A 25,848-nucleotide genomic window follows, 5' to 3' on the forward strand; every position below is an offset into this window, starting at 1 on the left:
TGCTGGAGTGCAGTGGCACTATGTCAGCTCACCACAACTTCTGCCTCCCAGGTTCAAGTGGTTCTCCTGCCTCAGCCTCCTGAGTAGCTGGAACTACAGGCACACGCCACCACGCCCAGCTGATTTTTATATTTTTAGTAGAGATGGGGTTTCGCCATGTTGGCTAGGCTCCTCTCGAGCTCCTGACCTCAGGTGATCTACCTGCTTTGGCCTCCCAAAGTGCTGGGATTATGAGCATGAGCCACCATGCCCAGCCCAAATTTTTTCTTTTGATAAGGATACCCAATCATATTCTATCAGGGGCTCACTCTACTCCAGTATTACCTCATCTTAACTAACTATTATATCTGCAACAACTGTATTTCCAAATAGAGTCACATTTTGAGGCACTGGGGTTAGGATTTCAAAACATAAATTTGGGTCATGAGAACATAATTCAACCCATCACAGACCACCCTCTGGATCATCCTTTTCACATACAAAATGCATTCACCCAAACCTAACACTCCTGAAAGTCTTGACGTATTCTAGTATCAACTCTAAGTTCAAAATCTCATTTAAATATCATCTAAATGAGGTGTGCGTGACAGTCAGTGTGATTCATTCTGGAGCAACATTCTTCTCTAGCTGTGAGCCTATGAAACCAGACAAGTTTACTTGCAAGATAGAAATGTTAGGACAGGTATAGGACAGACATGCCCATTCCAAAAGGGAGAAATCAGAAGGAAAAGGGGACTCAAAAGTTCCAAGCAGGTTCAAAACCTAGCAGGATAAATTCCATTAGATTTTAAGCTTTGAGAATAATCATCTGGCTTGATGCTCTGTCCTCTGAGCTCATTTAAATTATGCAGAAAAAATTAATTTGCTTAAAGTCTACTGATTTAAAAGATTAATCATATCTAAAAAAAACACCTTCACAGCAACATCCAGACTGGTGGTTGACAAAGCAAATGAGCACAATAGCCTAGTTTAGTTGATACATAAAATTAACCATTGCAAATACTTTTTGAGAAATTACTAAAATATGTCCAAGATGGGAGAAAGTCAGGAAGAAGCTCTTAAGAGAGAAGGTGAAGACATGTTTTGGCTGCTTGTCTTAGGCTGTGTCCCAGAGGGGCAGGACTCAGAGGAGTCATCAGCGAAAGATTGTACAAAGCCTAGTTTTAATCTGTCACAATGCTTTAGATCAGAGGAATGCACAGAAAGAACTTTGTGCTTTCAGTTATGACAGAGCCAGAGAATTTTCTCTAGCATCCAGGGTGAAGAGCAGATGAGGTGACTAGGAAGTCAAGTGAAAATAGTGTCAGGAGTAGCCTGAGAGGTACCAGAATACGCCACCCCAAAATATGCCCCTTTGGCATATGGATTATTTTGAGCTCGAGGCCATTAAGAACCAGCAGTCTCAGGAAAAGCTCTAAAACCAGGGCACATGGTTTCCCCTAATAAACGAAATTTAGATTTGTGGAGATATCTCCCTCTCCCATACCAGGAAAAGGAGTACTCTTAACAACTCTTATCAATGAAGAAGGTACTGATTTAAATCCACATAACACACCTTACTAAACAACTCTTGTCTACCATACTTTTCCTGGTCACCATCCCATAACTTGCCTCCCCCACTCAGAAGCCTCAAACCCCTTTTCCTGTGTTTTATGTTAAGGTGGTATATAAGCCCAAGTTCTAACCACTCCTTTGTGTTACTCACCTCTGGGTACTTCCATGTGTAATCATGATGCACATGTTAATAAACTGCTGCTTGCATTTCTCTTGCTAATCTGTCTTTTGTCAGTCCAATTTATAGGGCTCCAGCTGGAGAATCTAGAAAAGTAGCAGAAAAAATAATTTTTTTCCTCCCTTGTAAGCTCTAAAAGACAACTGGATGATCTAGGGCTGGGTGTGCTGGGAGGGGGAAAGCTACCCGTGACCTCCTAAACGTGTATCAACAGACCAATAGTCTATTGTATTGTATTTGTCTGTCTGTCTGTCTGTCTGTCTATCTATCTATCTATCTATCTATCTATCTATCTATCTATCTACCTACCTACCTACCTACCTACCTACCTACCTACCTACCTATCAGACTTCAAGTGCCATGTGTTCGTCTTTTGCAAGGATATCTCCCCAGCAGGCAGCACAGGACCTTATGACTAGCAAGTATTCAAGTAAGAGCTATTGAATGAGAATGTCAATGGACTGCATCCAGCTTCCTAAAGCTCAGGTGACTATATATATATATATATATATATATATATATATATATATATATATGTATATATATGTGTGTGTGTGTGTGTGTGTGTGTGTCTGTGTGTGTGTATTTTTGAGACCGTCTCACTCTGTCATCCAGGCTAAAGTGCAGTGGCATGGTCACCACTTACTGCAGCCTCAATCTCCTGGGCTCAAGTGATCCTCCCACCTCAGCCTCCTGAGTACCTGGGACTACAGGATAATTTTTTTTATTTTTAGTAGAAACAAGGTTTCACTATGTTCTCCAAGCTGGTCTCAAACTCCTGAGCCCAAGTGATCCTCCAGCCTTGGCCTCATCCAAGTGTTGAGATTACAGGAGTGAGCGATTGTGCTGGTCAACAACAACAGTTTATAGCAGGGTGAGGAAGATGCAGTTTAGTTTGCAGAGTGCAGTGAACCTATCTCAAAGCCGTGTTTGTCAAGCCAGCACACTGTCTTTCCCTAGGTCATGTGGCTGTTTGCACAAGGCTGATAGCTGAAAAGTGGGAGATGTTAAAGCACCCCCAGCCACCCCTTGGCTGCCACAAAAGCCTGGTGGTTGTGTGATCCTATGTTAAGATAAAGTGAGTCGGAGGATGTCAGCCTGCTTTCTTCTGTTCTCAGTCTGTAACCAGAGATCCTAATCTTGATGCAAAGTTGAGGTTCACTTCTGGACATGCTTTATTCTAAAGGGCATGGGGGGAGGAGAAAGGGAGGAGCACATTTTGAGGAGGAGGGAGGCCTCTAAGAGAAATTCCTTCCTACTGGGCGAGGGCAGCAGCACATTACCCATATACAACCTCCTGGAAGCCTTCTGTTTGTCCGTCTGTCTAGGGCCCATCTTGTGTGCACTGAAGGGAGGGACATAGAGCAGGCAGCTGGGGTTTATGATGATATTTCCATATCAGCCTGTTTGGCACCAACGCACTACACAAAACATTCGACACGTGATATTCTTTTCCCTGGTATTGCTAACTTGCAATCTCTGTGGCTCAGGGGCCTCCTGCCTTTGAATAAGACTTGGGAGAGAACCAGACGGCGATCCGAGCCTCTAGCTTTCCATTGACAAGGAGGCAGCTCCAAACTGGGATTACTGATTTCCATTTCAAAACTGCGTTCAATTTAGTTGATTTAAACGACTTGACTTTCCTCTGTGAAATGACTGTGGCACGTGAGCTCAGCCAGTTGCTCTTTGAAAGGCATCAACACGCTCCCTGCAGGGACCGATGGAGCTCCGCCACCCATTGTTTATCTAAAAACAGCGTTTTATTATTGTCGCTCAATTAGGCCAGACAGCGGACACAAATGACTTTCAACAGCTACATCCTGATGCTGTGCATCACACATAAAATGCCAAAGACTGCTCTAATAGCTAGCTAATAAAATCAAAATGTGCCTTTGTTGACTCGAGATTACTCACATCGTCACTCTTTCTACCGAAGTCTCTTCTTAATCTAATTACATACAATGTTTCCACTTTAGTAAAAGAACATTAACCTCAGTAATCAACAATTCTGTCCTCAATTTATTTATGAGCAAGCAACCAAGGTTTTTCTGAACGTAAACTTTGGAGGAGAGTTTATTTTCTATACACAAACTAGCATATTTTTTTCCCTCTCAAGGTCAACATATTACTGCCTCTAGGGTTTTTCCCTTCAAGCTTTTTTTTCTTTCCTAAAAATTGCACAATCTGTCATTTCACAGACACCCACGAAAAGCCACTCCTAGGTTTCTCCCTGTTGATACTAACTGCTGTGAAAATGCTATTATACGCAAATATTTCAACTGTTTTGCAAACATATGCTTTCATACACACATACTCACTGCAGACGCCATTGCCTGAAATAGGAAAGGCCCTTTGAAAAAGAAACGAAATGCATTGAGCCTCTCAACATTTGCCATTTTTCAATTGCGTCTTGGAAGCATGGATGACTTTAACATTTAGAAATTACATTTGTCAGTGATTGCACTAGAACTTGGTTCTTTGAATGAAAAGATCCCTGACACTTGATTTATACCTCTAATTTAGAGCATGGGAAAAGCTGAGGATCAGAGAAGTGAAGAGATTTAGCTCAGGTGAGTAACCACATGAGGGACTGGAACCCAGGAGTTCCGAGAGCTCCCTGGATGGGCACAAACACAAAATACAAGAATCGGGGTAGTAAAGACTCCTCCTTATGGTGCGGTCATGAGGGCCTGGATTCTGCAGTGAGGGTTTAGTTGTTTAGCCGGATTGAAGCTGCACTTTGTGGCTGGCCGCCACCACCCACCCCATTACCTTCATCTCAACACACACACATGCGCTCTTTGGTAATATAACATTTCTCAAGTTTTCATTTGAGTTTAAGGTTGGACTACATCCAGGCCAAACATAAAGAAAATCTCAAGGCCGGCCCTCCCCTCCTGATGAGCCCTGCCAAGTTCCCTCAGGTTTCAGCATAGATGGGGAACCAATGTTACCTCACGTCTCAAGACTCCAACTCTGGGCAGGCTTGGTCTCGCCTCCTCTCTGCACTCTCCTTGGGGTGAGAAGAAAGGGGGTGATGTTGGCAGTGTGACAGGAATTCCTTGTTTTACCCATAAGCAAAGAAATTAAGTCAGGACTGAAGGCCAAAGTCAAGGAACCTGCAATGGCAGAGGTAGGAGCCTGTGAACGAACATGCAATTGGGAAGCCAGAGCTCTGTCCTCCTGAGCCCACTTCTTGCTGGTTACCTTGGACTGAGCCTCCAGCATTTTATCAGGAGAACCAGAAGCAGGAGGTCATGGCCAAAGAAGTGCCTAAGAGTCAAGCAACCTTAACTTTGCTCCACAGCAACATGCATCTGTCACTTAACCAGCTCTAAGCCATTTGGGCACAATTCTTTTTTTAACTAATTAATTAGTTTTAGAGACAGTCTTGCTCTGACACCCAGGCTGGAGTCCAGTGGTGTGGCCAAAGCTCACTGCAGCCTGGAACTCCTGGGCTCAAGTGATCTTCCCATCTCAGTCCCTTGAGTAGCTAGGACTACAGGCATGTGTCACCATGCCTGGCTAATTTTTTAATTTTTTTTTTTTGTAGAAACAGGGTCTCACTATGTTGTCCGGGCTAGTCTTGAACTCCTGGCCTCAAGCAATCCTCCCACCTTGGCCTTTCAAAGTGTTGGGATCACGGGCGTGAGCCACCACATCCGCCCATGGACACATCCCACAATTTTCTTCTAATTATGTTATCCTTACCTCTCGGTGGAACGGACTATTTGAAAAGCACAAGATGTCCTGTCAATGCAAATCCTTATTTGCCCCAATCTCGTATTTTCGTGGAATGATGATAAGTGCAAAGAAGAGGTAAGAGGTATCTAATGTCTGCAAATGAGTTAGAAAAAGAGTACTTTGGCAGGAACACAGAGTTATTTTATTAATTACGAGCTATTACTTAGGGATCATATGTCCTGTGTATGCCTTTAAAAGAATACTTTTTTTTTTTTTTAAATCATGCTGTTATCCTTCTGGCCCTCAAATTCTTTCAGATTGGTGACAGTTGGTCGGTTTCTCTTCCTTTGCCGCCTGCCCTCACAGGGTGAAATACCATCCCCAACTGGGGGCTGCCATCCAGCTAGCTGCTTGGCTGGGTGGAGGATTTCCTTTATTTCCACTGGCTAACGTCTCAACAGTACTGTGCTCTGGCTTTTAAAACCTTCCGCAGGAAGCCACACAAATGACCCTCAAAATGTGTGGGTTTTTCTGGAACTCCTCACCTTGAATTTTTAAGCCCTCACCCTCTCTTAAGTTCTGGCCTCTCCTGCCTTCTGAAACCACAAGGCAGTTAGAGATTGTAATCTCACAACACAAGTCATTTTGGCATCCACAGTCAGATGTCACCTGGGGTCACAGTCGCCTGTATGCGGTGGAAAGTTCTAAGCAGTTGCAGTTGCTTTTGTGATATGCCAGTTGACTTGGAGAGAGAGCCCCAAAACCCAACAGGAAGGTGGGTTTTCTGAGGCATGCTAAAAATATATTTACATTTGTTTATATGTGAATGATTAATTTTAGTCTGCGGAAAAGGATTTGACAAGGATCTAGAGGCTCAGTGGGGGCATGGCATAACTAGCGATATTTGTGCCCGGACAAAAGCAGTCATTTGGGCTCTTCTGGTTGTTGCCCCACTTTCTTTTCTCCTTGCCAGTCCCACAGTTATGGAGAAGGAGGTAACACTGAGGCCAGGTCTGCTACTCCACATCGTTTCTCTGTTCCTCCGTAGGCTGCCTGCCACCACCAGCATGCCATTCTTGAGCAGCACATAGTTGAGCTTCTGGCTTCGGGAAGCTCTTTCTCGCGTTAAGTGGCAAGGCTGTAACTTCAGAAGTCTCTGCCCTGCGGTGCCCTGTGCTCAGCATGGCCTGGGTGCTCAGTGGCTAGCAACCGTGAGCTCAGGTCTCACCTTTGGGCCACGTGAGCAGGTTGGCCGGACATCTATACTCTAGATAGTTCCTGCTTTGTTGTGGGATCTCCACCCACTAAGAGGTGGCCAGGAAGTTTAAAAAGACATGCTGGTTCTTTAGAATCTGGTTTCATGCATTCTTTTCAGATGGAATGATTGGGAAGTAGGGGAGAAAACAGAAAAGCACACTGGTGCCCTCCTGCGAACACAGCATCTGTCCCACCTTCATGCAGTCAAACAAAGCAGAGGGAATGTGAATCAAAAAATTTAAGGTGAGGTGAGGGGAAGACCCCAAAGGACCACTGGCTGACACTAACTCTGGGACCAATGGCAGGGCCCACAGCATTGACAAATCAACGGTGACCGCTCGCAGCCTTTGGTACTTGTGTACCATGGATTGCATCAGTAGAGTTTCTCTTACAGATAAATATACCTACTCTGTGTATGACTGACCCAAAGCAATGCCTGCCAGCCCAGAGCTATTTGGTACTGTCTTATTCACTTGGGCTGCCATAACAAAATACCACACACAGTCTTAAACAACAGAATTTTATTCTCTCACAGTCTTGGAGGCTGAGAAGTCCAAGATCAAGGTGCCAATTTGATTCCTGGTGAGGGCTCTCTTCCTGGTTTGCAGACAGCTGGCTTCTGGCTGTGTCCTCACATGGCCTTTCTTCTGAGTGTGCATGAAAAGAGACGGTGGGGGGGACATCCCTGGTGTCTCTTCCTCTCTTTATGAGGCCACCAGTCCAGTTGGATTAGGGGTCCACCCTTGTGATCCCACTTAGCCGTAATTACCTCATAAAGGCCCTATCTCCAAATATAGTCATATTGGGGGGGGGGCAGTTAAGACTTTAGCATACGAATTTGGTGGGGACACAGTTTAGTCCATAGCAAGCCCAGACAAAATATAGCTGACTCACTTAGTACTTGGACCACTCCCCTTACAAGCCCTTTATTATTTTCATACACCCAGGTCCAGGTGTGCCCAAGCAGCAGCTATATCTGTTTATCAGAGGGCTGCCCTCGGTCCAGAAACTATTTTGATAGTGCAATAATGAAGACTGACTTCCTTATAGAAATGACAGTCCTTAACCGGTGAATGACAGGTGAGAGGGAGGTGTAAATACTCTAGCTTCCTTGGCCCCTGGCCAGGACAGCAGTGACAGTACACAGGAAGATCTGGAGAGAGAGTAAGTCACATCTCAGCGTTTCCTTTCCTGGGGCTTTGCTCAGTGTTGCACCCTGTCCTGGCATCCTCCTTTCCTTTTGGGGCCCACTTCTCAAACCCCTAACCAGTTTTTTCCGGTAATATTCCTTAAATGAATCACTCAGGGTCTGCTTCTGGGGAGTCCAACCTCAGACAACACAAGACCCAAGTGGCAATATTTGTTCCAACACCCAGAATCAACCCAGCATCCCCTCAGCTTAGATGATTTCTCAACATTATGAAGTTCAGGCATCCTAGGTCATTTCACAAAGATTCTCAGAGTGAAAGAATCTATAATCCTGTTACATAAGCATAATAGGCAACTGTTCTTCCACTCTATGGAGTCTTCCAGAAGATCCCAGCTCAAAGTCAGTACCATGGCCCTAAGGGAAATTCTGCTTCCTCAGTCTTAATTCAGAACAACCTAGGCCTTGGCCAAAACTTGCAATCAAGACACCCACAAATCACATCATGTTCCCCTCTCCCTGTAGCCGAGCAATTATCAAAGCCAACTGGGGGCTATATATAGCATTCACCAACTTTGGAAAACTTTTCAAAAATTGTTTTAGTTTCTTTCTTATTGTCTCCCCAGAGTCTGGTAATTCTGGAAAGAGGCCTGTAGATTGCCACTTGGGGAGTCCAGCAGAAAACCAATCCTGCAACTCCAGAAAGCTGGACAGTGACCCTGCTTTTTCCTCTTCTGGGAGCTGTCAGCTCTCTCCTTCCTCCTGGCCCTTGGAGCCTCAGAATTGACTCCTATTGCTCTGCAGAGTGGGCTGCATTGGACACAGTGCAAAGAGTAAAACCAATGATTCAAATGGGGAGAACTGCAGTTACTAGAGCTTCTCCTGCCTCCTATTTACATAAACTTCAAGAACATCGAGTTTAGGGGAAGCATTCGCATTTGATTCAACATGACACACTCCCCAGGAAACTTTCCACAGTGCCCACATCACTAGAGCCTGGGCTTGCTATGATCACCATGGCTCTTGGGCCAACCCTGAGAACATTCCAAAGATACAAGCTTGGGCTGGAAGCCTAGAGAGAAATACCCAGAAGTCCTACAGTTTATTCCATCTCAATACATACTTCTCAGACAAGGGCTTGTAGGAAGGCAGATACGACAGGAAAGGAGGTCTCAGGAAAGCTCTCCAAGTCCCAATTCTTAGTCTTAGCTTCCCATGTTGAAGGTACTGATGGCCTTGGAATGGTGGACTTGGACCTGGATTTTCATGTACAGTTTAGTTTATACAGAGGGTGCTTCCCAAGCTTTGTGAAGGAAAGGAGAAGCTCTGTGGGAAGGAAAAAGACGGAAGTGGGGAGAGGAAAAGAGAAGCAGTAGGTAGCAAGGTTTGCCTTGTGTAGGTCATGACTTATTCAAGTTTTGCAGGACATGTGTTTCAGGGCCTTGTTTTCGCCATCAACGCACAGATCTGAGGGCGGCCTAGTGAGCACATCCCCCCACCTCCCCCCACCACAGGAGTGTTTGTGTTGGAGGCGGGAGTGTTAAATTCCAACCTCAGCACAACTCTTGAAGACTCTGCCAGTTCAGGTGTGGCAAACAACAAAATGTGTTTTTGCTTTTCTTTTCTCTTTCCTTTCTTGCCAATCAGAGTGAATGGATTCTGAGCTTTCATTGGTGTTTAAATTAATTTTTGATGAAAAAATAAAGTTGGGGGCGGGGGAGTGGGAGTTAAAATTACAGTCTGCTCTATAAAGGCAAAGTAACTTCTGGAAGGTCATGAGCTGCTACTGGCAAGCGTGGCCTGGAGTTAGGAACAATGTACTTGCTGTTTCAGGAGCAAATCCAGGCTGGAGAAGGCTCTCTCTGCATAACCCAGGATTGGATTTAGTTCTGGATTCATGCAGACCTCTCTGGCAGCTGATGGACAAGTTAGGGCTGTATGAGCATTGGCCTGTCGCTGGCCCAGACTTCATTCTTTAGTCCTGAGGCCACAGCATTTCCATGTGGACTTATGAATCCAGTGAGAGAGGGAGAGTGGAGAAGAAGCTGGCGTGGCCCCTTGGCTCTTTTATTACCTAGGATAGTGCTTGGCATGCCATAGGTGCTCATCGTGTGTGTATTGAGTAAAGAACTTACCAAAGCAGCCCTATTCTCTATAGTTGTTCACTGAGGAGGTGCAAGCAAGATACAGGTGGTGCTATTAAATGAGAGAAACATACGAGGATCTTCTTAATTTCTCTCTTTCTAAACCTAAAAATTAGATATGCCATTGAACTTTGTGAGAAAGGGGATGGAAGAAGCATTACTTGAAGTGAGTAATCCATGCTTTATTGCCTCTACTTTAGGGGCAAGAAACCAATTGGGTGTTGTGCCTAAGAACGTGGACCCTGTGGCCAGACTGCTTGGATCAGTGTCCTCCCTCCACCACTTTGTAGCCATCTGACCTCAGGCAAGTTACTTCACCTCTCTATGCCTTGGCTCCTCATTTATAAACTGGTGATATGAACAGAGCCTGTGTTCTAGGATTGCTGTGACAATTACATAGAAATGAGTCAACATGTACATAGCACACAGAACAATGCCAGGCACACAGCAAGTGCTATTTATGTTCTTCTTTCTTCCTCCTCCTCCTCTTCCTCCTCCTCTTCTTACTTTATGCCATTCTGATAAACACTATTTTATTTATTTTATAATTTAGGAACTGATTCTAAACTACATTAAGTAATTTGTTTAAGGTCGAGCATCTAGTGAGTGTTGGGCACTGTGTTGGAGCTTCAGTCTGTCTGACTTCAAGGCCTGTGCTCCTTTCAAGGTGAGGTGTTTGACACATCCCCTGCTTGCCATCCTGGTGGCATTCTCTCAACCACCAAAGCTTATGAAAACATGCCACTCAGGTTAGCTTCCACCGGACACTGACAGAGGAGCAATTATACCTCCGCCAAAGAAAATTCTCAATGCCAATAAGGGTTCTGGCTACTGTGGTATACTTAGAGGAAATGAATTTAGGAAGTTTTAATTAAGATTTCAAGGATGAGAAGAGGAAAATATGAAGGAGACGGAATAAATATTCTTCTACTTTGATTGGGAGGGTCAAAATTCGCTTTCGCTGTCTTATGAAGGTTGAAGTTCTAGGATTCAGGAATAGGATTCTTTGCTATTGGGTATTAAAAAGCAATAGAGCTCCAAATATATGCAATCAATCCATCCCATCTTTAGGGAAACCTAAATCTAAGCCACCTAGTATAGAGAGCCACTTGTCCTGTGAGTAAAGACTTTTACAAGATTTAACAGAGAATAGGAGCAGGAAAGAGACCAACGTAAGGCAGTTGCTAGAACAACAGAATTGCTTTACAGTTCTGACTTCACAACCTCATTTTCCTGACCTGATAGTTCTGAGACGAACTTCTCTGGGTGCATCTAGAATCTATTCCTTCTGTGAGGTGGTCACCAGGCCTGGTGACCTTTTAAGTTTAATGTATTAGAGCCAGCTGGGTCTTTGAGCCAGTGGAAGGAGACTGTGTGAACACTTGTAAGCCATGTGCCTTTGTCCAGTAGCGTTTCAGTGCTACCTAAGCATCTCTACAGCTATTGTGTCTGACCTGCTCTGGGGATTGAAACATATAGTTGGAACAGGAGGCAGTGGCTTTTTTTTTTTCTTCGATAGATTTCTAAAACCTTTAAATGAAGTACTGCATATATACAGAAAAGTACATAGAGCATAAGTATATAGTCCAGTGAGCTATCACAAAATGAATGTACCTGTGTAAGTGCCACTCAGGTTAAAGAATAGAGCATTATCAGCACCCAAGAAACCCACTGAATATTCCCTCCAATTTATCATGCTCTTCCTTCTCTCCAAAGGTTACCACTGTCCTGACTTATAACGCCATAGGTTAGTTTTATTTGCATTTGAGCCACATATAATTAGAATGATACATTCTGTATTCTTTCAGGTCTGGTGACTTTCACTTACTGTTACATTTGAAAGTTTTAGTAGATTTGCATGTAATAGGAGTTCATGTATTTTTACTGCTGAATAGTTTTCCATTCTATAAATATACTATGAGTTATTTACCCATTCAACTGTCCCTTTAATGGACATTTAGGTTGTTTAAAATTTGAGGTTATTATGAATAATGCTGCCACAAACATTCTTATACATGTCTTTTGTGTATATTTCTGTGGGAGTACATATCTGCAAGTGGAATTGCTGAGTCAGAAAGTATGCATGTAGTACTCAGCGTTAGAGGAACCTTGCCAAAGAGTTTTCCAAAGTGGAAATGTGCCAGTTTACGCTTCCACCAACAGTGTGTATGTTCAAAATCCTTGCTAACATTTGGTATTGTCAGGCTTTTAAATTATGATTGTTCCAATAGGTGTGTAGTAGCATGTCATTGTGGTTTTAATTTTTATTTTCCTGAAGACTGATAAAGTTGAGTACCTTTGGAAATGTTAATTGGCAATTTGGCTACCTTTGGTGAAGTGCCTGAACATGGCACTGGGTTATTTGTCTTCCTTATTAATTTGTAGTTTTCACTTATCCTGGACATGCGTTATATGTGTTGCAAATAATTTCTCCCACTATGTGGGTTGCCTCTTCGGTACTTTAATGGTATTTTGGGGTGAACAGAACGTCTTAAAATTAAAGGACCACAATGTATCTTTGCCTTTTTGATTAGGACATTTTGTGACTATTTAAAAATCTTCTAAGATCATAAAGATATTCTCCCATGTTAACTTCTAGAACAGGGGTTGGCAAACTATGGACTGTGATCCAAATCCATTCTGCCAACTGTTTTTGTAAATAAAGTTTTATTGGGATACAGTCATGCTCATTCATTTACACATCACCCATGACTACTTTTGTGCTACAACAGACCTTATGGCACACAAAGCCCAGAATGTTTATTCTCTGGCTCTTTACAGAAAAAGTTTGCCAAACCCTCTAGAAGATTTATTGTTTTGCCTTTCACATTTGGAATGGTATTTGTGTATAGTGTGTGATAGGGATCAAGATTTTTTTTCCATATGAATATGTAATTGAACCAGTGTCATTTATTAAGGGCTTAGCCTTTCCCCATGATTCCCTATGTCATAAATCAAATCAAGTATACATATATGTGTGGATCTGTTTCCAGATTTTCAATTCTTTTTATTGGTCCATTTTTCTATCCCATGACCAATACGACTCTGTTTTACTTGGTGCACTTTTAAAAGTGAGTCACGATATCTTCCCACTTCATTTTTCTTCAAGGTTGTCTCTGTTACTGTTAAGACTTGACATATCTGTATTAGTTTTTGAATAGGCCTGTCAATTTCCTCAAAACACCTTCCTGGGATTTAGATTGGCATTATATTGATTCTGTAGATCAATTTGGAGAGGTTTGACTTATTTACAGTGATGAGATCCTTCCAGTTCATAAAAGTGATGTATTTTTTAATTTATTTAGGTCTTCTTCAATTTCTTTCAATAATATTTAGACCTGACTTTGATATCCTGTACATATTTTGATTGGTTTATTTCTAGGTATCTTTGATGCTATGATAATTTATGTCAACACTAGCTTTTGTGTAAAAGAAAAAAACTACTAACTAGTCACCTACTGATATGGTTTAGCTCTGTGTCCCCATCCAAATCTCATGGCAAATTGTAATCCCCAATGTTGGAGGAGGGGTCTGGTGGGAGGTGATTTGATCCTGGGGGCAGATTTTCCCCCTGCTATTCTCACAACAGTGAGTTCTCACGTGATCTAGTTGTTTAGAAGGGTGTAGCACTTACCCCTTCTTATTCTTCCTCCTTCTCTGGCCATGTAAGATGCGCCTCCTTCCTCTTCATCTTCTACTGATGATTGTCAGTTTCCTGAGGCCTCCCAGCCATGCTCCCTGTGCAGCCTGCAGAATCAGGAGCCAATTAAACCTCTTTTCTTTGTAAATTACCCAGTCTCAGGTAGTTCTTTATAGCAATGTGAGAACAGACTAATACACCCAGCAAATGCCATGCTGTAGTGGAAATACTGTGGAGACCAAAACAATGTTACATGCTCTAAGAAATAAAAATTGTTGGGTGGTAAAGGGAAATGACAAGCCTGGCAGGAAAAAATCATCACACACAGCACATTTATATACACACACTCACTTAAGTGTCTGTCTCTTCCATGGGTTGAGAATGCATACTGGTATTGGCTCTTAAGACTCCATGACAGAATGGAAAGAGTGCTAGTGGAATGTCAGGACTCCTGGATCCTAAGCTTGGTTCTTCACAAACTAGTTGTGAAATTTCAGGCATAGCTCTACTTAACCTCCTTAGATCTCAGTTTTTACACCTCTAAAAAGTGAGTTGGCTCTAACATTGACTTATAAATAAGGAAAGGGAACCCTTTGGTTCCTGGTGAGTTCTGACATAGGGATGTCCTGGGCATGATTTGTATGATTTGGGGGGCGGGGTCTGCCTGCCAAGAGATTTCTTAAAGAAAAGCTATCTTCCTACTAGTTTGTGAATGCTTAGTAAATTCTTTGACAGAACAAATGTCTCTGAGAGAGGGGATCCCCTGAGGTGAATAAGCAGAGGAATAACAGATGCAAGAAGACATCACAAGGATCAGGCACAGGTGCCTTACCTGAAGTACGTTCCAGAGGTGGAGAAGGTTCAGGAAAAAGCATAGAGGCAGAAGTGCAATGAAGCTGGCAGTGTCCATGCAGGGACTTCCCTTTGAATCATGAAAGTTTCATAGAAGAGATGAATTGAGATTCTGCCTTAAAAGTCTTTAAAGAAAGAGTTACAATCAATGGACAAAAAGTGCTGCCATTTCTCTTTGTGTCTAACAGTGATGATGAGGAGTGGGTAGAGCAGCAAAGGCTGTTTGTCAAAATTCATGGTCCTCCTCACCTAGTAAAATATTCACCCTGGAATATTTCCTGATCTTTGATCCCTGATCCCTGCTGCCCAATCAGAGACTCCATTCCCAGCACACCCCTGCATTTGTGTTGAGCCAGTAGAATATATAGAATTAGTATTTGTTACTTCTGAACCACGACCATTAAGAAGCATGTGTGCCTTCTCCATCTTTTGTTTCTCTTTCCATGGCTAGAACCTAAGGACTCCCAGTTCCCAGGAGATAATGGAGCCTCAAGATGTAAGGAGCCCGTCTAAGCTTTGTGCTGCTATAACAGAATACCTGGGACTGGGTAATTAATTAAGAACAGAAATTTATTTCTCACAGTTCTGGAGGCTGGAAAGTCCAAGATCAATGCACCAGCATGTTAATTGCTTGGTGAGGGTCTAGTCTCTGCTTCCAAGATGGTGCCTTCAATGCTGCAACCCCTGAGGGGAAAAAGAGATGTATCCTCACATGGTAGATAGCAGAAGGGCAAAAAGGGATGAACTTCCTCTATCAACACCTATTATAAGGACAGCTAATATCATTCCTGAGAGTAGAGACCTTATGGCCTAATCACTTCTTCAAGGCCCTATCTTTGAATACTATCAATCACACTGGCAACACTCGAATTTTGGATGGGACACATTCAAGCCATAGCAGAGCCTCAATCTTTGAGTTATCTCATTGAGGAAAGTGGTGTGCCCACCGGGAATACTTCCACCAGACTGTTCTGTGAATGAGAAATAAAATTCTGTTGTTGTGTTAAGTCACAAAAGTTTGAGGTTTATTTGTTACAGCAGCCAATGTTAACCTAAAAAATGCAGTTTGTTTCCGAAACAATTCACAGTAGTGACAGGAAAGGAATAAAAGCACAATGTTCTTATATTACTGCCATTTCACCTAGGAAAAGAGAGAAAATGTGAAAGGAGGATAATTAAAAAAAAAAGTTTCCCCAAACTTTTTAAAGTTACTGGAGAATGTTCACAATTTATATAAAAATAGGATGATAATAATGTCAACACGTAATATCTGTGCCTAATAGATTTTCACTCCCCCAAGTTGCATTTTAATTTTCCTAAATTGGCTCATGACATATTCTTATGTGGGATTCAACATTTAGCAACAAATAAGACTTCCCTCTCTCTTGGCACTTCTTACTCCTCCCTTTCCCCCACGCATCCATATCCCTGCTGCCTTCTCCTTCCCACAAAGCTCATTTTTGGCAAAGTGGTTTTTATAAACCACACATTTTAATGAATTAAGTGTAGTCCCACGATCACACTTACATTCTCCTACAGTCCCCTGACTTCCACACTCCTCCAGCTATGGGAATTTTCCCTCACACCTCCAGAAAGGAAAAAAATGAATTGAAAATTTTGTCTATAAGTAGAAAAGTTATGCACAGAATGTGATGGCTCTCCCACTTTTCTTTTTTTCTTTTTCTTTTTTTTTTTAATGCAAGAAGGAAGATGATTTTCAAACATTGCACGTCCTCTGAGAAACTAAAATATTCAGTGCTGTTTTTCTTTTGGCAGTAGCATAATTGGTTGTGATCATAAACCCACATAGTTCCTTTTATCCTTTTTAGTGGCAGCTTCATGGATTGTCTTCTACCCTGTCAAAGAAGAGAGTTGGGGTGTTTGACAGCAAAGAAATTTAGGAGAATTTCAGAGCAGAAAAGGACTTTGTACATCATAGTTTCCAAACTTCTTATTTTACCGCTGTGGATACTGAGGTTCACAGGTGGTTTAACTTGCCGAAAGTCATGGGGTTAGCCAATAGCTTCTGCGAAATTAAGCTATACCCAACTTTTACAGTTTGTATCACATGAAGTTTCAATCACACAATCTTCTTGGATCCTTGCAACAGCTGCATGATGGTACTAGAACCACCCTCTGCTAGTGAAGTGACATAAGAATGCTCATCAGAGTGCTAGGACTTAGAATTGCATCCCTGGCCAGGTGCGGTGGCTCACGCCTGTAATCCCGGCACTTTGGGAGGCTGAGGCCGGTGGATCACGAGGTCAGCAGATCGAGACCATCCTGGCTAACATGGTGAAACCCCGTCTCTACTAAAAAATACAAAAAATTAGCCAGGCGTGGTGGCACATGCCTGTAGTCCCAGCTACTTGGGAGGCTGAGGCAGGAGAATGGCGTGAACCCGGGAGGCGGAGCTTGCAGTGAGCTGAGATCGTGCCACTGCACTCCAGCCTGGGTGAAAGAGCAAGACTTCGTCTCAAAAAAAAAAAAAAAAAAAAAAAAGAATTGCATCCCTGACCACTGAGTCCATATTCTCAAGTCCACCTAGCCTTTTTTTTTTTTTTTTTTTTTTTATGTTTTTGTGGTGTCACCAACAAAGCATTAGACGCTTGGCCAGGGTCTGGAGTTACCTAGACAAAGGGCATAATCTATGCTCTCTAAGAGCACACAGTTTAGTGAGGGCAGATAAATAAACAGGTGATTCCAGCCCAGTATGATCAATGCTTCTATCTTTTGCACTTGGCATGCAATCATTTCAGAAGCAATGGTTGCATTTCCCAAGAAAAAAAACAACAACAAAATAACTAACAGCAGTGGTGGTAGCAGCAGCAGCAGCAGCAGCAGCAGCCGATTGCTGACTCATCAAACGAGGAGGCACCAACAGCTTTGCCTCCCAACTAAGGAACATCTTACTCAATCTCCTTCCCACCCCCCATCACCACCTGTAGGCTTGGAACCAATAAAGGCTTTGGAAATGAAAGATAATGTGCTAATAGGATGTTAAAACAAAACCACTCTCACCACCCACCACCAGAGGTAGTTTGTGTAAAGGCGTTATTCCCGAGCCTCGTGCTTCATTTCATGACTCCAACTTGTGGCACTTTGCTAGGTTTGCAAGTGTTGCTTATCCAGAGAGCTCAGAGATTGTTTTTGGCAAAGGACTCAAAGCAGGCAGATCCAACCCCTCTCGCTGTCTCTTTCTTGTTGCCAAAACATAAGACTCTTAGTTTTATGGAAAAGTCGTGTGAATTTTGCTTCCAAGGAATAACCTGAGATTACAGTTAAAATTAAGTAGTAGAGGAAGATTGGGAATTAGAAAAACTAAGATCTGGTCCTGAAAATTAATACTGTGTATACCATACCGTTAATGCTGTGTATTAATTTTAACTCTTGAACAAGGCTATTCACCTCTTGGTTTTAGTTTTTCCATCTTTGAAATAAGAAGAGTGAACTAAATATTTTCTAAAGTCTCCAACAATTCTGGCATGTATGCATTCAAAATTTTGTTATTTAATTTTAGAGAATATTTATTGAGTTCAGTTACCATTAGTTATGTGCCAATCACTGTGGTACACACTGGTGAAAAGAGGTGAAAGGCCCAGCTGCCTTTCATATGGCTGAGAGACGAGCTAGGGAGTGGAGCAGTTAAAATTTAGCAGGAGGCGTGGGTTTGAAGAGGTGTGCACAGGAAGCTGTGGGGCACAGAAAAAGGGCACTGGGCACCTCCAGATTTACTAGATCTTTCTCCACTGATAGGAATCAGAACTTGCCACTCTAAAACAGGCAACTTTAGCATATTGATTATTTTGAGCTGAATGAACAGCAGCTGTAGGAAAGGCTCTCTGATCTCTCCCTTTCTACCCAAAAGCTGGCACAGACTTCCTACAAGAAAAGTGCCTTCCTTTCCCTTACCAGGGAGAAGAGAACATTCCTATTACTGAAGACAGAGAGTCAATGTCAAGATGAATCTGTACAAACAAACCTACGAAAACAACCTTTATCTTCCACTAGTTTCTCCAATATTTCCTAGTCACTTTCCCACAATTTGCTGCCCCAGCCCCAACTCCTTTCGCTCCACAGTTGATCTTTCACATCTCCACAGTTGATCATTCTTTGTTGAAATGGTATATACCCTCTCGGGCCTTTTCATTTCTTTTTTCTGTGAAGTCTCCTATGCCATGCAAAAATATTAACATCAAATAAAATGTCTATGCTTTTCTCCTGTTTCTCTGTCTTTTGTCAGTTTAATTCTCAGGCCCAGCTGCAGAACCTAAGAGGGTAGAGGAAAAAGCTTTCCTCCCTTACACCACCTTTGCTCTTCCCTGGGAGATTGGTCTACATGGACCACGTCAACAAGACTCCTGGGCCGTCTGGTTTCTTGTTGGCTTCAACTGACAGGCAGCACTTTAGGAGACTGGGGCAGAGAGGAGAGGCAGCTCTGGAGTATTTCTTTCTCTCCTTGGGAAGATGACTCCATCAAATATCACTGCTCATCCCAAACTCACCTACTGTCTCCCTTACCTTCTCCCTTACGACCTACAGATAATGAGAGCTCCACTGCTGCTGCTAGTCCAAAGTTTCTGTACCAGTTCCTGTAGTTTCACTTAACTACACCCACAACTTTATAATTAGTTGCTTGTAAATAAACTTTCCTCATATTTAGATTGATCAGAGGGTGTCATCTGTTTTCTGTTGGGACCCTGGATGATGTAGGCATGAAAACCACTTTTGAGGTGTGTGTATATTGGAGGTAGTGAAGGAGCAGTTAGTTAAAAGGAAAGAAAGGGCAGGAGAATGGGGAAAGCGTCCCAAAGGAAAACAGAGCTAAGTCTTAAAAGATGTCTTGAAAAGACACAATGTCTTGAAAGAAATAATGAGAAGGGAGAAATAATTTCAGAGAGAAACATGTGGAGGCTCAGAGACTTGAAAATGTCCTGGGGAAGGTGCAAATGATCAAGGTGACTGCAGGGAAGGACTGGTAGGTAGGAGGATGGTAAGCGATGAGGTTGGAGGGGAGGCGAGGGAGAGATCATGAAGGACTCTGTATGTTCTGTGAATGCGTTTGGGTTCTATCCTGAAGACAATGGGAAATTACTGAAAGATTTTTAAGCAGAAAAGTAACATAATCTGGTTGGAATTTCAAAAGATTCCTCTGGTATGTAGTGTGGGAGAAAGCAGGACTAGAAGCAGGGAGATTGTTTGGCATGTTCCTTCAATGATCAACACAAGAGTCAGTGACAATATGAAATTTGGCAGTGGTGGTGGGGCAGCAGGAAGTATATGTGAGAACTATTGAGGAATTTGGTGAGGAATTGGGTCCGGTAGTAAGTCTGAGATGATGCCCAGATGTTTGGGTTGGGCCAGTTAAAAGATGGTGGAATCATTCACAAACAGACGGGATCCTAAAGGGGGAACTGTATTAATCTGTTCTCGCATTGCTATAAAGAAATACCTGAAACTGGGTAATTTATAAAGAAAAGAGGTTTAACTGGCTTACAGTTCCACAGGCTCTACAGGAAGCATAGTGGCATCTGCTTCTGGGGAGGCTTCAGGAAACTTACAATCATGGTAGAAGGCAAAAGGGGAGCCAATACTACACGGCCAGAGCAGGAGAAAGAGAGAAAGAGGGAAGAGGTGCTACACACTTTTAAACAACCAGATCTCATGATAACTCACTCACCCACTATTATGAAAACAGCACTGAGGGGATGGTTTAACCTATCCATGAGAACTACACCCCCTTGATCCAATCACCTCCCATCAGGCTCTATCTCCAACACTGAGGGTTAGAAGTCAACATGAGATTTGATGGGGACACAGATTCAAACCATATCAAGAGCCAAACTCAATTAACTCCTCATTCGTTTTTTCCCAGTACCCTCAGGAACGTCCCCTGATCACTGGCTTTTTTTCAACATTCAGCTTGCATATTGCCCTTCAGTGGCCTCTGCTATTACGACCCAGCCAGTGGGGGGCCATATCAGTTCCTTCCTCACATTTAAAAACTACTGAGTGAATACATGCACAGTTCCAGGCACAGAGTTAAACATTGAATAGAGGTTACTATGAAAACCAATGTGTAAACTCAGTCCAAAATAAGTATGGTTATAAAACGTCTTTGCTCATTCAATAAATCCTTTTTGAGTGCCTACTTTGTGCCTTTTGTTGTTTATTCCTTATGTGGGCAACTGTCAAAAAGCTGTGAGAAAGGGCTTATGCTATTTAAATAATTTCTTCTCTCTCTTTGTATTCTTCTCCATTTCTCCTTTTGTTCTCCCCCCTTTCTCCTCCTCTTCCTCCTCCTTCATTTCCTTCGGCTTTCTTTTTCCTATATGCATACAGTTTTTGTGTCCGGGAGAAAAAAGGTCTAGAGAGCTAGATTTTTAGAGAGCATTAAAAAAAACTTGCCTGAATTATTGATTCATAGCTTTATAATGCACCCAGTATAGTAAGGACATTTATAGATTTCATGAGCTGTTTAATATCTATTTGTGGAGTACCACCATGTGCAATCATCTTGGACTCATTATGTTTCTTTGGCTGCCCAGTGAGTCATAACGAGCCTCTGAAAAAATGTAGAATAATGGTTTAGAACTAGAGGGAATGAAATAACAGTCAAAGTCAAATATGAAATTATTAGTACATGTAGTCTGTAAGAGCAATCAAGACAAGGAAGGGATAGAGGGCCTATTATTACATGCACATGTGTGCACACACATGTGCATGCACAAACTTTAAAGGGTTTTCAGTAAAGGGGGAGGTAGCTGGGGAGCCCTATGAAGAAGATTCTTAAAAGTGAAGGGTTGCAGCTCTATTTTTCCATTAAGATTCAAGCACGTGGGGGTAGGGAGCTCAAATTATGGGGAGGAAATAGAAAAGCCAATGGAGGCCCTTCTGAGAAGAGGGAGCCCTGTACTGAGAGGATGAAAGAGACTTTATTCTCCAGCAGTTAAAATGAAGAGGAAGAGATCATTTCTAAACAGGGCACAAGAAATGGCTTCATTTCTCCCTATTAACCTCTGTTCCCCTAAAGAAAGCCAGTTGAAGCAAGCAGGACAAAAGAATTCTATGTAAGCCTAGTGAAGAATACCTTCTATGATGGGAGCCATATTTTGAAAAAATATTAATGTAATTTTCTCTTTCAATTGTGCAAGTATAGATCTTTATTTCTAATTGGTTCCAAGGTCATCAGCCCAGAGGTCTGTGGGTGTGTTCTATGGTGTGCAAAGGGAAAAAAAGAGGATATTCAGCATTTGATATTTAAAACAGGATTTCAAGCAAGATAATAGTCTTGAAAGAAGACTTTTTTTTTCTTCCTGAGACCCATCTGAATTGCTTTATCTCCTCCTTTGGCCTATGTACTGAATTCTTATCATTTTATGTTATCTTTGCATCCATTTTGAATATAAATTGGACTTTCTCATACAGAAGCAGGGCTTTATCTTCTTCGACACAGTTTCCAGTTTTCTGCCTCCTCCCAGTTCCTCAAGCTGGTTAATCCAGACATCTGCCCTATACAACTCCTTTCCCCTGGCAACCACCTCCCTAGGGAACAGTTAGACACAGCCTACTTGACTTGCCTCACTGACCCCCACACCCCATGTGGACTGCACAGATGTGCACCAGTGACCACTTCTCAGTCACAGCACAACTCCATGGAATTCGTGTCTGCTTGCTCTGAACTCACCAGTTAGAACTCCCCCAGGGAAACCTGCTTAGATAATGCTCTGGACCCCAATAAAGGCTTTGACCCACAGGTTTTTCTCCCTTCCTTGCTCTCTGCCCACTGAGTGAGCACATATGTCCCTGAAGGTTCCTCTGTTCTGCTGGTCCTGCAAAACGTGCTGCCCTCCTTTCTCTGGGATCTGTAAGTAATAAACTGCTTCTGGTATTTCATGTGTTTTGTGGAGTTGCCTCCTCTGTGTCTCTCCTGACCAACACACGTGAACCTAACTTCTTTCCAAATCATGGTTCTCCTATAGAATGGCTATCTTGGCAGGAGTAAACTGGACACAGTCCAGATAAAAGCCACAAGGGCATCTGATAGTATAAACAAATTTTCTGTGAGAGGGGCACCTGGTCACAGGTTGAACACTTAGGCATGAGGCTGTCCACCAAGATAAAGAAGCACCCCAAGAAAGGCACACTGTAAACATCTACAGGAAAATCCCTGGAGCCCTGTCAAGTCAGCACTAGAGTTTATATTCACTGTCCGGAGAGAGACCTCAAGAACAAATTAGAAATACAACAGCCTATTCAGCACCAACAAGAATCACCCAGATCTACAAGTTTCCCTGCAGGGTAGAAAAGTTATTCTTTTGGAGACAACAGGTAGGCCATGAAGCTTGCTGGTCCATGGGAAGAGGAGATACCACAGAGGAAGACAGGCAAGCCCTACTCTTCCTGTCCCAGGAGATGATGAGAGGAAAAATGAAGAGAGAGTGAAGGGGAGGGGGCTGATTTAGGACTATCCCAAAGGAGTTAATGCAAACACCAAGGAGGCACTGAGACAAAATAGAGGAGCATTGTCAAGGGGATGGATTGGGGTTGGGGAGAAATTTGCCCTTCTGGAAGACTCCATCAGTTGCTATCTGGTAAAGGAAGATTGAATATACAAATGGACAATGACCAGACCATACTTAAAAATAGAACTCTGGCCGGGTGCGGTGGCTTGTGCCTGTAATCCCAACACTTTGGGAGGCTGAGGCAAGTGGATCACCTGAGGTTGGGAGTTTGAGACCAGCCTGACCAGCATGGAGAAACCCTGTTTCTACTGAAAATACAAAATTAGCTAGGCATGGTAGTGCATGCTTGTAATCCCAGCTACTCGGGAGGCTGAGGCAGAAGAATTGTTTGAACCTGGGAAGCAGAAGTTGCAGTGAGCTGAGATCACGCCATTGCACTCCAGCCTGGGCAACAAGAGTGAAACTCCGTCTGAAAAAAAAAAAAAAAATAGAACTCTGACCCACAATCTGCAGGAATCTGCCCACCTTATCTATATAACACCCCCCTTATCTACAATAACCAGCCTAGGAAGCCAGCCTGCCTGAAGTCAGACTTGCAGGAGGCCAGATTGCTGTCTCTAGTAACAATCAATGAAGCTGAATAGTAACTTCTGTAATAATCTGCAAAAAATGACCAGAACTTTATGAATAATGGACAGCTTCCCTAATTTTTGTCCATGCTTCCAACGTAGGGCCAACCAGAGAAAGGCAAATATTCACCCCTAAGTAATCACTTAGGATGCCCCCGCTCCTAGTGAGCCAGCCACCTCCAGCTTCCCATGCCAACAGCCTCCAATCAGCATACACCTGGAGCCTTCCCTTCATGCCACTCTAAGGCTCCTCCACTCCTCTGCCCGCCTTTGCATTGCTGCCAAAAGTGACAGTGGCAGACTCCCTTGCTATAGAAAGCTCTGAATAAATAGCCTTTGCTTTTCTCATTTGGTTGGTCTTCGTTTATTTCTACAGTAGAGAAGCTTAGAATAGAGTCAGTTGGTCTAACATGAGGGCCTCTATGGCAGGAAATAGATTGTCTAGGCTGGAGAATTGAATGAGGAATCAGAGTGTGTTACAAATGGCTATTGCTGAGGGAAGATAAAGTCACCCAGAGAGAGCTGTCAGGCCTGACCAAGTGAGAGGAACCAGAACAAGTATTATCCTGGCTGTGAGCTTGAGCTATGAACTCCAGTGGGGTAAGTGGCAAGCGAGAGACTCCAGGAACCAGACCCTGGACCTTGACCTGTCTATTCTTCCTTCTGTAAGAAGACACGTAAGTCACATCCCTTCCCCTATATACCAAGAAACTATCTGGGAGAGGAGCTGCAGAGAAAAGTAGAAGTGTGAAAAATTGGAGTGATTGGGCATTTTTACTTAAAGATGTGGGGTATCCATTAAAGGGGCTGTTTAAATGACTGCATCATCAGCTTTGCTGTTACTTCCCCACTAACCAGCTCACCCATAAAAGCATATCAGTTATGGGAAAAATATTAAAACCATATTTTCTCTGCATGTTGAAGTTGTAGTTAAGCAAATTTTGTAATTCCATAAGAACTGAAACTAATGTATTTTCTTGTTCCTTAGCTAAACAACTCTGGGATAAAGAATAGGCTTTTAGTTGAACAATGCTGAGATCAGGCAAAAACAACTCAGCTACTTGCTCCAGTGGATACCCGCTCCTGGAAAATAAGACTGTGGAGCTACTGAAACAGCTGACTTATCAGGACTAACGGGTCACTCATCAAAGCTCACTTTCATATTCTCACCTTGTGGTGCCTACCAGTCCAAAGCTATTGTGCCATAAATTCTGCCCAATCCCAACCAGTTCCCTGCCTTTGAAGACCCACCTAAGAATCACCCAGCCTAGGCCCTAAAACCCTAAATAATCCTCCCCTGACTTCTCTCTTCTGAGATGCTACTGGATTCTGTATCTAGATCAAGCTGATGTTCTCTCTTATTGCAATAAGTCTATTAAAAACCCAGCTTTGCTTAACCAACACTTTTTCTTTTCTGGTGGTCTTTTTGGACACTCCATAGCCAGTGCCATTATGCTTTAAATTGCATAGTCTGGCTATGGAATACTAGGGGAAAACAGCCACAGGCAACAAGTTAAGCTCATAGCTACAGGAAACAGATGAATTCTTTCTGAGCAAAAGTAACTACAACCCAGAAGACCAAACGTTAGAAGTGTACATCCAGGAGAAGCTATAAACACCTATCCTAGTAACAAAGACATAAGACATGTAGTTTCTATACACGGAGTAGACCAATCACACCACTTTTATTTTCAGTGATTTCCTGTACACACAAAGAGCATCAATTAAATTTAAGAAGAAAACAGTATACAAAAGAACATATAAAATATCTACATAAATGTATGCACAGATATGATGCATAGTTGGGACCATGCAAGTCCAGGGGTTCTTTTTCCATACCTTGTATTAAATTCACCCAGTATTTAGGGAAGATGACATGGTTTGACTGTGTCCCCACCCAAATCTCATCTTGAATTACAGCTCCCATAACCCCCAAGTGTCATGGGGGGACCTCTTGGGAGGTAATTGAATAATGGGAGTGGGTTTTCCCATGCTGTTCTCATGATAGTGAATAAGTCTCATGAAATCTGATGGTTTTATAAAGAGCAGTTCCTCCACACACACTCTCTTGCCTGCCACCATGTAAGACGTGCCTTTGCTCCTCTTTCACCTTCCACTATGATTGTGAGGCATCCCCAGCCATGTAGAACTCTGAGTCCATTAAACCTCATTTTCTTTATAAATTACCCAATCTTGGGTATTTCTTCATAGCAGTATGAAAATGGACTAACACAGAAGAAAAGGAAGGAGGAAGAGAAGGAGAAGAAGGCCCTGATTTTCCTAAGGCTCCTGTAGACC

General features: G+C 42.8%; 2 long non-coding RNA genes across 10 annotated transcripts in view, besides 1 other annotated feature; one reads left to right on the forward strand and one right to left on the reverse strand.

Annotated features, from left to right (window-relative positions):
- LOC105374942 (uncharacterized) overlaps positions 1–15,126 on the reverse strand; it is a 41,263-nt gene extending 26,137 nt beyond the window's left edge. For 3 of the 6 annotated variants that reach the window (XR_926510.3, XR_926511.3, XR_007059468.1), the window contains exons 1-2: positions 4,687–5,042; positions 1,706–1,818 (exon numbers count right to left, since the gene is read on the reverse strand). This is a non-coding gene — a long non-coding RNA (uncharacterized LOC105374942). Of the gene's footprint in view, positions 1–224; positions 1,819–4,686; positions 5,043–5,443; positions 7,191–13,598; positions 13,712–14,436; positions 14,582–15,037 lie in introns of those variants that run through there. The other 3 variants (XR_007059471.1, XR_007059470.1, XR_007059469.1) reach the window with 3 other exon arrangements.
- The window catches only part of LOC101928331 (uncharacterized), an 84,318-nt gene that overhangs the window by 15,031 nt on the left and 43,439 nt on the right, over positions 1–25,848 (forward strand). Inside the window, exon 2 of one of the 4 annotated variants that reach the window (XR_007059467.1) lies at positions 10,165–24,951. The exons of the other annotated variants lie outside the window; for them this stretch is intronic. This is a non-coding gene — a long non-coding RNA (uncharacterized LOC101928331). Of the gene's footprint in view, positions 1–10,164; positions 24,952–25,848 lie in introns of those variants that run through there. 4 annotated transcript variants of the gene reach the window in all.
- Positions 3,147–3,737: an enhancer, noted in NCBI's record as "NANOG hESC enhancer chr6:14450188-14450778 (GRCh37/hg19 assembly coordinates)". NCBI's record gives its function as "activates a minimal SCP1, AML or CMV promoter by ChIP-STARR-seq in naive H9 embryonic stem cells {active_cell/tissue: H9 hESC(naive)}" and the evidence as "EXISTENCE:reporter gene assay evidence [ECO:0000049][PMID:30033119]".

The sequence above is a fragment of the Homo sapiens genome, chromosome 6 (genome assembly GCF_000001405.40).
Source record: "Homo sapiens chromosome 6, GRCh38.p14 Primary Assembly".
NCBI classification, from domain to species: domain Eukaryota; kingdom Metazoa; phylum Chordata; class Mammalia; order Primates; family Hominidae; genus Homo; species Homo sapiens.